Here is a 12691-nt window from a genome sequence, read left to right as displayed (position 1 = left end):
GCGAGTCCCCGGGCCTGTAGGTAGCCTGAGGTGTTATCCGCAGGCTGGGCCCCTGAACTCAGACACCGGGGAGGAGTGTTCAGCCGCCAACGGTGGCGGAAGAGGCAGAATAGTCACCAATCCCCAGGCCTCCGGCCCGCGTGCGCAAGTCCTCAGGAGGCAGAACCACCAGCGGACTGTCCTGAGGGCCCCGGGGTTCGGTCGCTGGCTAGGACGGACAGGGAAGGGCTGGTCCCCAGGAAAGCTCAGGCGGGGTAGAGCAGGCAAGCGGTTGGTTCGCGTCTGAGTCCCGCGGTGGCGGTGGGGTTATTAGTCTTTTCGGACGTATGAAAGCCTCTGGCCTCCCCGCTCCCTCCCTGGCCCTCAGCTGGGCGGCGGCGGCTGCAGCTGCAGCTGCTCAGGGCAGGGAAGCCCGTGGGCTCCACGTGGGCTCCTGCAACGCCGCTGGGGAATCTCTCGCCCGCTGCCCCCTACTCTGGAGGTCCACGAGGGTCAGGGGGCTGTGGAAGTCCGTGGGGGGACTGCGGAGCCCCCGGGGTCTCTCACTCACCCTTTCCCCGCGCGCAGGGGCTGCAGGCCGTCCTAGCCGATCCGATTTCTCCGCGCAGGCTGCCTGGGTGCCTCTGCTCCGCTCCTCGGGCTCCCAGTGGCTTCTCGGCTGAATCCCGCGTTCTCTTAGCCGATCGGCTGCAAGTGTGAAAACCTACCGGCGCCTTCGGTTCCCGCCAGAGGAGAGGCGCGTGCCGGCGGCATCCACCAGGCCATCTTGAGCCTATGGTCCTAGGTGGGAATGGGTCCCAAGTGCGCGAGTTACTCAAGGGCGTTCCCTGGAGGGTCCGGGTCGGCCCCGCCCTCCCCTTCCAGACTGGTCCGCAAGCTCCGTGTGCACACAGGTGTGTTTGCTAATATAAATAGACTATTTGGCCGGGCACGGTGGCTCACGCCTGTAATTCCAGCACTCTGGGAGGCCGAGGCGGGTGGATCACCTGAGGTAGGGAGTTCGAGACCAGCCTGGCCAACATGGGGAAACCCCGTCTCTACTAAAAATAAAAATATCAGCCGGGCGTGGTCGCGGGCGCCTGTAATCCCAGCTACTTGGGAGGCTGAGTAACGAGAATCGCTTGAACCCGGGAGGCGGATGTTGTAGTGAGCCAAGATCGCGCCACTGCACTCCTGCCTGGGCGACAAGAGCGAGACTCCATCTCACCAAAAAAAAAAAAATCCTTTACGTTGATGTATGCATTTTTGGATGCTTTTTTCTTTTAATTTTAATTTTTTTTTTTTTGAGATGGATTCTAACTCTGTCGCCCAGCCTGGAGTGCAGTGGCGAGATCTCGGCTCCTGCAAAGCAAAAACGCCGTCTCCAAAAAAAAAGAATGATGAATTAACATGCTAGGGTGTGCTTGGCAAAGTGTGGTTCACTCCTGCAATCACAGCACTTTGGGAGGCTGAGGCAGGCAGACCACTTTGAGTTCAGGAGTTCAAGACCAGACTAGGCAACATGGTGAAACCCTGTTTCTACAAAAAGGTTCAAAAATTAGCCAGGAGGCTGGGCATGGTGGCTCAGCCCCTGTAATCCCAGCACTCTGGGAGGCCCAGGCGGGAGGATCACCTGAGGTCAGGAGTTCAAGACCAGCCTGACCAACATTGGGAAACCCCATGTCTACTAGAAATACAAAAACTAGCTGGATGTGGTGGCGGGTGCCTGTAATCCCAGCTAATCTGGAGGCTGAGGCACGAACCTGGGAGGCGGAGGTTGCAGTGAGCCATGATCGTGCCATTGCACTCCAGCCTGAGCAACAAGAGCAAAGCTCCGACCAAAAAAAAAAAAAAAAAAAATTAGACAGGCCTCATGGCTCATGCCTGTAGTCCCAGCTACTTGGGAGACTGAGACTGGATAATTGCATGAGCTCGGAAAATGGAGGCTGCAGTGAAATTGCACTACTGCATTCCAGCCTGGGTACAGAAAGACCACATCTCTAAATAATAAATAAATAAATAATAAAATGCTACAGTGTTTGTCAGGTTTGCAGCGAGGAGGGCTGACATGTAGCTGTGTGGGCAATCTGTTAGAGAGAGTGGCTTTTCTTGACCATGACAATGTACTTCAGCTACATTCACCTGTTAGGATTACTGTGCCTACTGAATTCAGTACTGATCAGATTCAGTAACTGAATCAGATCATCTTTACCTAACTGCTGGATGATAACTAATCTTGCAAAATCGACCATCTCTAAGGGAAATTATTTTTATTTCGCTCTAACGATTACCCAAGACCCCAGAATAAGAACTAACCCAGCAGGTTTTGTTCACATTAATGGCCAGAGTACAACCCATGAATCTTTAAAGTGAGAAAAATGCTTCAGATTTTATGCCCTGAGAGTTTTTCTTCTATTTGTTCTAGTCTATCATTGAAGCTTTTGAGTGTACTTTGTATTTCATCCAATGATTTCTTCAGTTCCAGAAATACTCTTCTGTTGAATTTTAAAACCTCTTTCTGGCAGGTAATCATCTCATATATCTCCCCACCTCTTTTCCTCATTTCTTTATGTTGTTGTTCAAAAGACTCTTCCATGTTGATGACCTTCTTTACAATCAGTCCGGTCAATTCTCTGCTCAATTCTCTGTTTGAGCTTTCCTGAATTTCTTTTGGATGGGGATCTGTTGCTGGAGAATTACTGGTTTCTTCTGAAGGCGTCACATTTCCTTGCTTTTTCATGTCTCCTGGGTCCTTCCGTTGAGATCTGCGCATCCTGTGGAACAGTCACTTCTTCCGTTTGTGAATTCGCTTTGTAGGGGAGGACTTCTTCCTGAAGATGTAGATATGATGTGGTTAAGTAGGGGATCTTGGCTTTGGTTTGAGGTAGAAGTGTAGGCTCTGTACATTACTTGGGTGACTTAAGGTGTGGTTATTAGTGGAGACTGTGCTTGCCTGTTCTTGAGCCCCAGAGCAGTGTACACTGGCCCTGGCGTTAGTGGGTTCAGGGGAGCGATTTGTGGGTCTCTTCGTGGGCGTCTAGGTGCCCTGCTCGAATGCTGGTAGTGACAGTCCCTGCCTGGGCATGCGGCTAATCTCAGGCCCGGGGGCAGCAGGTGTTGATGGGTGGGAGGGGCAAGCGAGTCCCCTGGCCTGTCCGTGGTGGTATCGGCAGGCTGTGCCCCAGACCTCAGACCCCGGGGAGGAGTGTTCAGCCGCCAACGGTGACGGACAAAACCCGCAGCCACCAATCCCCAGGCCCCTGTGCTCCAGTCCTCGCGGGACGGAACCGCCAGCGGACTGTCCTCAGGCCCCCGGGGTTTGGGCTCTGGCTGTGACAGACAGGGAAGGGCTGGGCCCCAGGCTGCCGGCGGAAAGCTCAGGCGGGGCAGGGCGGGCGAGCAGCTGGCTCGCGTCTGGGTCCCGCGGCAGCGGCGGGGTTATTTGTCCTTTGGGACTCCTGAGAGCGCCTGGCCTCCCCTCTCCCTCCTTGGCCCTCAGCTGGCGGCGGCGGTAACCGCAGGCAAGGCAGGAGCTGCCCTCGGGGCTGGACTCTCGGGGTGGCGGGGGCTGCAGCTGCAGCTGCTCAGGGCAGGGAAGCCCGTGGGCTCCACGTGGGCTCCTGCAACGCCGCTGGGGAATCTCTCGGCCGCTGCCCATTCTGGAGGCCCGCGAGGGTCGGGGGGCTGTGGAAGTCGGTAGCGGGACTGCGGAGCCCCGGGGTCTCTCACTCACCCTTTCCCCGCGCGCGGGGGCTGCAGGCCGTCCCAGCCGATCCGATTTCTCCGCGCAGGCTGCCTGGGTGCCTCTGCTCCACTCCTCGGGCTCCCAGTGGCTTCTCGGCTGAATCCCTCGTTCTCTTAGCGGATCTGCTGCAAGTGTGAAAACCTACCGGCTCCTTCTGTTCCCGTCGGAGGAGAGGCGCGTGCCGGCTGCATCTACCAGGCCATCTTGAGCCTGTGGTCCTGGGTGGAAACGGGGTCCCAAGTGCGGGAGTTACTCAAGGGCGTTCCCTGGAGGGTCCGGGTCGGCCCCATCCCCTTCACTCCCGGGAAGGCCCCGCCCTCCCCTTCCAGACTGGACAGAAAGCTCAGTGTGCACACAGGTGTGTTTGCTAATAGAAATGGGAGCAGACTATTCACACTTTTCCACAAAGGTGTGCATTTTTCACTTTTTATGCTGGGGATTTGTGTCAGTACTCGCAGAGCCGCGTTGTTCTTTTCTTTTTCTTTCTTTCTTTTTTTTTTTTTTTTTTGAGACGGAGTCTAGCCCTGTCGTCCCAGGCTGGACTGCAGTCCTGTGATCTCGGCTCACTGCAACCTCCGCCTCCTGGGTTCAAGCGATTCTCCTGCCTCAGCCTCCCGAGTTGCTGGGAATACAGGCGCATGCCACCACGCCTAATTTTTTTGTATAATATTTTTAGTAGAGACGGGGTTTCGCCATGTTGGCCAGGCTGGTCTTGAACTCCTGATCTCAAGTGAACTGCCCGCCTTGGCCTCCCAAAGTGCTGGGATTACAGGCATAAGCCACCAGGCCCGGGCTGCCTTGTTCTCTTTTACAGCTGCGTAATGTCAACATAATCATGTATATTGAAATGTCACATATTGTTAGAAATTTGTAATAATCATTTATGTAAAAATATGCATTTTTTGTGGATGGACTTTTTTGAGACGGAGTCTCACCCTGTTGCCCAGGCTGAAGTGCAATGGCGCCATCTCGGCTCACTGCAACCTCTGCCTCTCAGGTTCAAATGATTCTCCTGCCTCAGCCTACGGAGTAGCTGGAATTAGAGGTATCTGACACCATGCCCAGCTAATTTTTGTATTTTTAGTAGAGACGAGGTTTCACCATGTTGGCCAGGCTGGTCTCAAACTCCTGACCTTGTGATCTGCCCGCCTCAGCCTCCCAAAGTGCTGGGATTACAGGTGTGAGCCACTGTGCCTGGCCTGGATGGACTTTTCATGATATTGAAAAACATGAGTTGAGGTACAAATATGTTTAAATGTGGAATTTCACAGTCATGGTTTCAACAATCAGTTCTTTTAAAGGAAAGATCCTAACCTCAGGTGATCCTCCTGCCTTGGCCTCGCAAAGTGCTGGGATTACAGGCATGAGCCTCTGCGCCCAGCAGCAGAACCATTTTCTATTCCATGCTGAACAAACCAGTTTTTGCCACACATGTGTTGAGATGAAACAACTTTCTTTCTATGAGAGACGTTGCAGGAGCTCATGAAACTCACAGAAGCTAAAACAGCCCAATCATAGGAATTCTGTAGTGCAGCATGGCTCAAGTGAGTGTGAGTGTGTGTGTGAGAGCGATTGTGAACATAGGAGTGTCAATGTGTGCATGTATGTTTGTGTATTTGAGCATGAGGGAGAAGATGAGGGACCAGACGGTGAAGAGCACCTCAGGCCAGGCAAGGAGTTTGGCATCATCTTACAGGCATTAATGTGCCACTGACAGATTTTTTCACGGAAAATTAATGTGGCCAGATCTGTGTTTTTTTATTTTATTTTATTTTATTTTTGAGACAGAGTTTCACTCTTGTTGGCCAGCCTGGAGTGCCATGGAGCGATCTTGGCTCACCGCAACCTCTGCCTCCTGGGTTCAAGCGATTCTCCTTCCTCCGCCTCCCAAGTAGCTGGGATTACAGGCATGTGCCACCACACCGAGCTAATTTTGTATTTTTAGTAGAGACGGGTTTTCTCCATGTTGGTCAGGCTGGTCTCAAACTCCCAACCTCAGGTGATCCGCCTGCCTCGGCCTCCCAAAGTACTGGAATTACAGACATGAGCCACCGCCTGCTGACTTATATTATTTTATTTTATTTTATTAATTTATTTTTTTTTTTGAGACAGAGTTTCACTCTTTTTGCCCAGGCTGGCGTGCAATGGTGCAATCTTGGCTCACTGCAACCTCTGCCTCCCGGGATCAAGCGATTCTCCTGCCTCAGCCTCCCAAGTAGCTGGGATTACAGGCGCCTGCCACCATTCCCGGCTTTTTTTGTATTTTTAGTAGAGACGGGGTTTCACCGTGTTGGCCAGGGTGGTCTCGATCTCTCGACCTCGTGATCCGCCCACCTCGGCCTCCCGAAGTGCTGGGATTACAGGCGTGAGCCACCTCGCCCGGCCTTATTATTTTATTTTTGAGACAGAGTCTTACTCTTTTGCCCAGGCTACCATGCAATGGCGTGATCCCAGCTCACAGCAACCTCCGCCCCACGGGCTGTCAAGCAGTTCTCATCCCTCAGCCTCTTGAGTAGCTGGGATTACATGTGCCTGCCACCACACCTGGCTAATTTTTGTATTTTGGGGGGTTTCGCCATGTTGGTCAGGCTGGTCTCGAACTCCTGACTTCAGGTGATCCATGTGCCTCAGCCTCCCAAAGTGCTGGGATTACAGCGTGAGCCACCATGCCCAGCTCCCACATTGCTTTCTCTAGGTATCCGTCTCAGATCTTCTTCTCTCTTTCTTATACTGACACTTCTAATTGCATCTTCTAGAGCCCACTTGGATACTCCAGGATCATCTTCCCATCTAAAGATACTTAATCGGGCCCAGCGCAGTGGCTCACGCCTGTAATCCCAACACTTTGGGAGTCAGAGGTGGGCGGATCACCTGAGGTCAGGAGTTTGAGACCAGCCTGGCCAACATGGCAAAACCCTATCTCCACTAAAAATACAAAAATTAACCAGGCATGGTGGCACGTACCTGTAATTCCAGCTACTCGGGAGGCTGAGGCAGGAGAATTGCTTGAACCCAGGAGGCGGAGGTTGCAGTGAGCTGAGATGGTGCCACTGCATTCCAGCCCGGGTGACAGAGTGAGACTCCATCTCAAAAAAAAAAAAAAGATCCTTGGCCGGGCGCGGTGGCTCACGCCTGTAATCCCAGCACTTTGGGAGGCCAAGGCGGGCAGATCATGAGGTCAGGAGATCGAGACCATCCTGGCTAACATGGTGAAACCGCGTCTCTAATAAAAATACAAAAAAATTAGCTGGGCGTGGTGGCAGGCGCCTGTAATCCCACCTACTCAGGAGGCTGAGGCAAGAGAATCACTTGAACCCAGGAAGAGGAGGTTGCAATGAGCCGAGATCATGCCACTGCGCTCCAGCCTGGCAACAGAGCGAGATTCCACCTCAAAAAAAAAAAAAAAAAGGAAACTACTCAAGTAGGCTGGGTGCGGCGGCTCACGCCTGTAATCCCAGCACTTTGGGAGGCTGAGGCGGTAGATTGACTGAGGTCAGGAGTTCAAGACCAGCCTGACCAACATGGTGAAACCCCATCTCTACTAAAATTACAAAAATTAGTCGGATGTGATGGCAGGCGCCTGTAATCTCAGCTACTCGGGAGGCTGAGGCAGGAGAATCACTTAAACCCAGGAGGTGGAGGTTGCAATGAACCGAGATTGCACCACTGTACTCCAGCCTGGGTGACAGAGTGAGACTCTTGTCTCAAAAAAACAAAAAACAAAAAAAGATAAAATGAAATAACAAATATGGAATTATTTTATAAACTCTAAACTGTCACATATATTAGAGATTGTTTCAACTACCTTCATCAATTTATTGGGTACTGCATTTTAAATCAGAGCTTCTTGGGCTGGGCACAATGGCTCATGCCTATAATCCCAGCACTTTGGGAGGCCAAGATGGGCGGATCATTTGAGGTCGGGTGGATCATCTGAGGTCAGGAGTTCAAGACCAGCCTGGCCAACATGGTGAAACCTGGTCTCTACTAAAAATACAAAAATCAGCCAGGCGTAGTGGTGGGCGCCTGTAATCTTGGAGCTACTTGGAGGCTGAGGCAGGAGAGGCACTTGAACCTGGGAGGCAGAGGTTGCAGTGAGCTGAGATCTCGCCACTGCACTCCAGCCTGGGTGACAGAGTGTGACTTTGTCTAAATAAATAAATAAATCAGAGCTTCTCAAAGTTCAGTGTGCACACAAATGACCTGAGATCTAGTTAAAAATGCGGACTCCAGACCGGGCACAGTGGCTCAGGCCTATAGTCCCAGCACTTTGAGAGGCCGAGGTGGGCGGATTCTTGAGCTCAGGAGTTCTAGACCAGCCTGGGCAACATAGCAAGACTCTCCGTACTAAAAATACAAAAAATAAAAAAATAGTCAGATGTAGTGGCATGCGCCTGTGGTCCCAGCTATTTGGGACTCTGGAGGCTGAGGTGGGAGGATCCCTTGAGTTTGGGGTGTGGAGGTTACAGAGTGAGCCAAGATTGGGCCGGGCCACTGCACTCCAGCCTAGGTGACATGGTAAGACCCTGTCTCAAAAATCAAAGAAAAAAAATCAATGTTTTAAAGAAAAGGAGTTATGGCAGAGTTAAAGGCCTAAAGTGGCCGGGTGCAGTGGCTCATGCCTGTAATCCCAGCACTTTGGGAGGCCGAGGCAGGTGGATGATGAGGTCAGGAGTTCAAGACCAGTCTGGCCAAGATGGTGAAACCCCATCTCTACTAAAAATACAAAAATTAGCTGGGCGTGGTGGCGGGCAACTGTAATCCAGCTATTCAGGAGGCTGAGGCAGGAGAATCGCTTGAACCCAGGAGGCGGAGGTTGCAGTGAGCCAAGAATGCGCCACTGCCCTCCAGCCTGGGGGACAGAGCGAGACTCCGACTCAAAAAACAGAAAAAAAAGGCCTAAGTCATGTGACTGCACCTGTGTCCCTGTATTCAGGGGTCTTCGGAGAAGCAGTACCCATGCCTGAAACTCAAGGACATGTAGGAAATGAGAGTTGCTTTTGTGTCATCATCCATGTCCTTCCTCGGGTGCCCCAGCCTTGAAGGAAGAGGAGCCCCAGGTGAGGATAAGTGGGGGCGAGGCTTGTTGTGCTTAGGATAGCCAGAGGCCAGCCCTCACAAGGCCATATCTAAACGGGGGCACTCCTCTGTCCTGGTCTCCAACCACCCACCCCAAGAATAGAGGCCTCACTCTAGCCTGAAAGACCCTTTTCTGACACCCGACCTTCCCTTTCCACAACCCCTGGTGGGAACACAGTGAAACCGCCTTTGCAAATTATAACTAAGGAAATCGTAACAGCGAAACACATCAGACCTAACCAACCCCATCTTGCTTCTAACGTCTAAACTGTCCTCATCCATTCCTGGGTGTAGGCGGAACTAGCCTTGGGAAAGAATTTAGTTTGTAGTTTAAACTAAACATAATAGCCTTTCCCCAAAGCTAAATTGTTCTTGTAAAATGAAAGAAAGGCCACCAGCCATGAAGTTAGAATAAGAAGGGCTGGAATTCTAAGTATTACCAGCCGTTATTCTGGAGGTAGTAAGATTTGCAACTTCCCCAATCACTCTTGAAGGTGACATCACTATTGTGAACCTAAGATCGGCCTTTTGAGATGGCTATTCAGGTTTTTGCATTTCTATCAACCGGATGGCCCCACCTGGACTTGTCAACCAGATCTGTGGCCCCCACCCAGGGACTGACTCAGCAGAAGAGAACAGCTTCTGACTCCCTGTGATTTCAAACCCCAACCAACCAGCCAGCACTCCCCATTCACTGGTCCCCTACCCATCAAATTATCCTTAAAAACTCTGTAAAAGCTCACGCCTGTAATCCCAGCACTTTGGGAAGCTGAGGTGGGTGGATCATTTGAGGTCAGGAGTTCAAGACCAGCCTGGCCAATGTGGTGAAACTCTTTCTCTACTAAAAATACAAAAATTAGCTGGGCGTGGTGGTGGGTATCTGTAGTCCCAGCTACTAGGGAGGCTGAGATAGGAGAATCGCTTCAACCTGGGAGGTGGAGGTTGCAGTGAGCAGAGATTGCGCCACCGCACTCCAGCCTGGCCAACAGAGAGAGACTCTGTCTCAAAAGAAGAAAAAAAAAACACAGTCTGATCCCCGACTCAGGGAGACTGATTTGAGTAATAATAAAACTCCAGTCTCTGGCACAGCTGGCCCTGGGTGAATTATCTTTCTCTATTGCACTTCCCCTGTCTTGATCTCTGTCTAGGCTGCGGGCAAGGTGAACCCCTTGGGCAGTTACAATAGGAGGAAGGATGTTCCGAGGTGGCAGGTCTATGCAAACCTATCCCCAAAGTCCAAGGAAGCTGAGGGGCCCAAGGAAGAGTAGAACTGCCCAACGGGTTCACCTTGTCCGCTGCCTAGACAGAGCCGATTTATCAAGACAGGAGAATTGCCTTGGAAAATAATTCACACGGAGGCAGCTATGCTGGAGACCTGAGTTTTATTATTACTCAAATCAGTCTCCCTGAGCATTCGGGGATCAGGGTTTTTAAGTATAATTTGGTGTATGGGGGAAGGCCAGTGAGTCGAGTTTTGATTGGTTGAGTTGAAGATGAATTCCCAGCGAGTTGAAGCTGTCCTCTTGCGCTGAGTCAGTTCCTGGGTGGTGGGGCCACAAGATGGTTGAGCCAGTTTATCCATCTGGGTGGTGCCAGCTGATCCATCAAGTGCAGGGTCTGCAAAATATCTCAAGCACCAGGCTGGGCACGGTGGCTCACACCTGTAATCCCAGCACTTTGGCCAAGGTGGGCAGAGCACCTGAGGCAAAACCCTCCCTCTACTAAAAATACAAAAAATTAGCCAGGCATGGTGGTGGACGCCTATAAACCCAGCTACTTGGGAGGCTGAGGCAGGAGAATTGCTTGAACCCGGGAGGCAGAGGTTGCAGTAAGCTGAGATCACACCATTGCACTCCAGCCTGGGTGACAAGAGTGAAACTCTATCTCAAAAAAAAAAAAAAAAAAAAAATTTCAAGCACTGATTTTAGGAGTGGGTTAGGAAGGGTCAGAATTTTGTAGCCTCCAGCTGCATGACTCCTAAACCATAATTTCTAATCTTGTGGCTAATCTGTTAGTCATACAAAGGCAGTCTAGGGCAGGCACAGTGGCTAATGCCTGTATTCCCAGCACTTTGGGAGGCCGAGGCAGGAGGATCACCTGACGTCCAGGAGTTCAAGACCAGCCTGGCCAACATGGTGAAACCCCTTCTCTACTAAAAATACAAAAGTTAGCCGAGTGTAGTGATGGGCGCCTGTAATCCCAGCTACTCAGGAGGCTGAGGCAGGAGAATTGCTTGAACCCAGGAGGCAGAGGTTGCAGTGAGCTGCTATCGGGCCACTGTACTCCAGCTGGGATGACAGAGTGAGACTCTATCTCAAAAAAATAAAATCTCAGAGGCCTTCCCGGAACTAGGGTTAATGATAAGTCAACGTGGCGATCAGCATCCAAGATGGAGTTGCCTTCACCTCCACAAAAGGATTGAGGAATCTGCCCGGCCTGCCCCAGTCCCAGGAACTGCCACTTTGCCGCTGCTCCCACCACAGTCCTGGGAGCAGCACAGGACTGCTTCTTAACCCAATCCCTGGAGCCTTTGGCCTCAGAGTCTGCAATGCTGTGATTCCAGTCACTTTATTTTTCTACTAGTCTGTGCACCAGCTGTTTCCTCACTGGGTCTCGCTGTAGAAGAATCTACTTTTTACTGCATTTGGGGTCTTGCCTGAGGGGATCTGTACTGTGAGAGCCAGTGAAGCCAATCGGAGTGAGGCCACTGTGGCTGTGCTGTGCCCTGTCCTGCAGCAGCCACCTCCAACCCCACACAAAGCCCCTCCCTTACCTGCTTCCTCTGTGTTGGCTCTGCCTGGAAAGCATAGGCTCTAGGACTCAGCCCAAATATAGACCTCCCAGCCGGGTGCGGTGGCTCACGCCTGTAATCCCAGCACTTTGGGAGGCCAAGTCGGGCAGAGCCTTGAGGTCAGAAGTTGGAGACCAGCCTGGCCAACATGGCGAAACCCCATCCCTACTAAAAATACAAAAATTAGCCAGGCATGGTGGCAGGCACCTGTAATCCCAGCTACTCAGGAGGCTGAAGCAGGAGAATCGCTTGAACCCGGGAGGCAGAGGTTGCAGTGAGCTGAGATTGTGCCATTGCATTCCAGCCTGGGCAACAGAGCAAGACTCCCTCTAAAAAAAAAAAAAGACTGAGCCTCACTCTGTCACCCATGCTGCAATGCAGTGGCACCATCATAGCTGGGTTCCAGTGATCCTCCTGCCTCAGCCTTCTGTGTAACCGCAACTACAGGCACACGTCACCATGCCTGGCTAATTTTTTTTTTCTTTTGGGTAGGGGTGAGGTCTTGCTGCCATGCCCAGGCTGGTCTAGAATCCCTGGCCCCAAAAGATCCTCCCACGTCAGCTTCCCAAAGCGCTAGGATTACAGGTGTGAGCCACTGAGCCTGACCCAAGCTCTCCTTTTAAATTAAATAACCCAATAACCCATTTTGTGACTTTTTTTTTTTTTTTTTTGAGACGGAGTCTCGCTCTGTCACCAGGCTGGAGGGCAGTGGCGCGATCTCGGCTCACTGCCACCTCCGCTTCCCGGGTTCAAACGATTCTCCTGCCTCAGCTTCCGGAGTAGCTCAGATTATAAGCACACGCCACGAAACCCAGCTAATTTTTGTATTTTTAGTAGAGACGGGGTTTCACCATATTGGCTAGGCTAGTCTCGAACTCCTGACCTTGTGATCCGCCCACCTCAGCCTCCCAAAGTGCTGGGATTAGAGGCTTAAGCCACCGCGCCTGGCTTTGTGACTTTTTTTTAAGTCAGCACCTTCAATGGGTACTTCATTCCAATCTACCACAACAGATACCTCAGCCAACTGTTGAAGTTATCACTGCACACCAGGCCTGCCAGGATCCCCCAAGACCCCTGTGTTTTCACTGCGTTCAGCC

The 12691-nt window shown here is 51.7% G+C and overlaps 1 long non-coding RNA gene across 1 annotated transcript, besides 8 other annotated features; it reads right to left on the bottom strand.

The window, feature by feature from the left end:
- Nucleotides 68–770: an enhancer, noted in NCBI's record as "H3K27ac-H3K4me1 hESC enhancer chr7:100946090-100946792 (GRCh37/hg19 assembly coordinates)". NCBI's record gives its function as "activates a minimal SCP1, AML or CMV promoter by ChIP-STARR-seq in primed H9 embryonic stem cells {active_cell/tissue: H9 hESC(primed)}" and the evidence as "EXISTENCE:reporter gene assay evidence [ECO:0000049][PMID:30033119]".
- Nucleotides 771–1472: an enhancer, noted in NCBI's record as "H3K27ac-H3K4me1 hESC enhancer chr7:100945388-100946089 (GRCh37/hg19 assembly coordinates)". NCBI's record gives its function as "activates a minimal SCP1, AML or CMV promoter by ChIP-STARR-seq in primed H9 embryonic stem cells {active_cell/tissue: H9 hESC(primed)}" and the evidence as "EXISTENCE:reporter gene assay evidence [ECO:0000049][PMID:30033119]".
- On the bottom strand, nt 2233–3966 carry LNCPRESS1 (lncRNA p53 regulated and ESC associated 1). The gene is made up of 2 exons (NR_146480.1): nt 3713–3966; nt 2233–2810 (listed from the first exon to the last, which is right to left on the bottom strand). It is a non-coding gene; the product is annotated as a lncRNA p53 regulated and ESC associated 1 (long non-coding RNA).
- Nucleotides 2972–3637: an enhancer, noted in NCBI's record as "NANOG-H3K27ac-H3K4me1 hESC enhancer chr7:100943223-100943888 (GRCh37/hg19 assembly coordinates)". NCBI's record gives its function as "activates a minimal SCP1, AML or CMV promoter by ChIP-STARR-seq in primed H9 embryonic stem cells {active_cell/tissue: H9 hESC(primed)}" and the evidence as "EXISTENCE:reporter gene assay evidence [ECO:0000049][PMID:30033119]".
- Nucleotides 5721–6629: an enhancer, noted in NCBI's record as "H3K27ac hESC enhancer chr7:100940231-100941139 (GRCh37/hg19 assembly coordinates)". NCBI's record gives its function as "activates a minimal SCP1, AML or CMV promoter by ChIP-STARR-seq in naive H9 embryonic stem cells {active_cell/tissue: H9 hESC(naive)}" and the evidence as "EXISTENCE:reporter gene assay evidence [ECO:0000049][PMID:30033119]".
- Nucleotides 8449–9358: an enhancer, noted in NCBI's record as "OCT4-NANOG-H3K27ac-H3K4me1 hESC enhancer chr7:100937502-100938411 (GRCh37/hg19 assembly coordinates)". NCBI's record gives its function as "activates a minimal SCP1, AML or CMV promoter by ChIP-STARR-seq in naive and primed H9 embryonic stem cells {active_cell/tissue: H9 hESC(naive and primed)}" and the evidence as "EXISTENCE:reporter gene assay evidence [ECO:0000049][PMID:30033119]".
- Nucleotides 9359–10267: an enhancer, noted in NCBI's record as "OCT4-NANOG-H3K27ac-H3K4me1 hESC enhancer chr7:100936593-100937501 (GRCh37/hg19 assembly coordinates)". NCBI's record gives its function as "activates a minimal SCP1, AML or CMV promoter by ChIP-STARR-seq in naive and primed H9 embryonic stem cells {active_cell/tissue: H9 hESC(naive and primed)}" and the evidence as "EXISTENCE:reporter gene assay evidence [ECO:0000049][PMID:30033119]".
- Nucleotides 10268–11177: an enhancer, noted in NCBI's record as "H3K27ac-H3K4me1 hESC enhancer chr7:100935683-100936592 (GRCh37/hg19 assembly coordinates)". NCBI's record gives its function as "activates a minimal SCP1, AML or CMV promoter by ChIP-STARR-seq in primed H9 embryonic stem cells {active_cell/tissue: H9 hESC(primed)}" and the evidence as "EXISTENCE:reporter gene assay evidence [ECO:0000049][PMID:30033119]".
- Nucleotides 11178–12087: an enhancer, noted in NCBI's record as "H3K27ac-H3K4me1 hESC enhancer chr7:100934773-100935682 (GRCh37/hg19 assembly coordinates)". NCBI's record gives its function as "activates a minimal SCP1, AML or CMV promoter by ChIP-STARR-seq in primed H9 embryonic stem cells {active_cell/tissue: H9 hESC(primed)}" and the evidence as "EXISTENCE:reporter gene assay evidence [ECO:0000049][PMID:30033119]".

The sequence above is a fragment of the Homo sapiens genome, chromosome 7 (assembly GCF_000001405.40).
Source record: "Homo sapiens chromosome 7, GRCh38.p14 Primary Assembly".
NCBI classification, from domain to species: domain Eukaryota; kingdom Metazoa; phylum Chordata; class Mammalia; order Primates; family Hominidae; genus Homo; species Homo sapiens.
The sequence above is the reverse complement of the archived record's forward strand: the minus strand, read 5'-3'. Positions and strand labels throughout refer to the sequence as shown.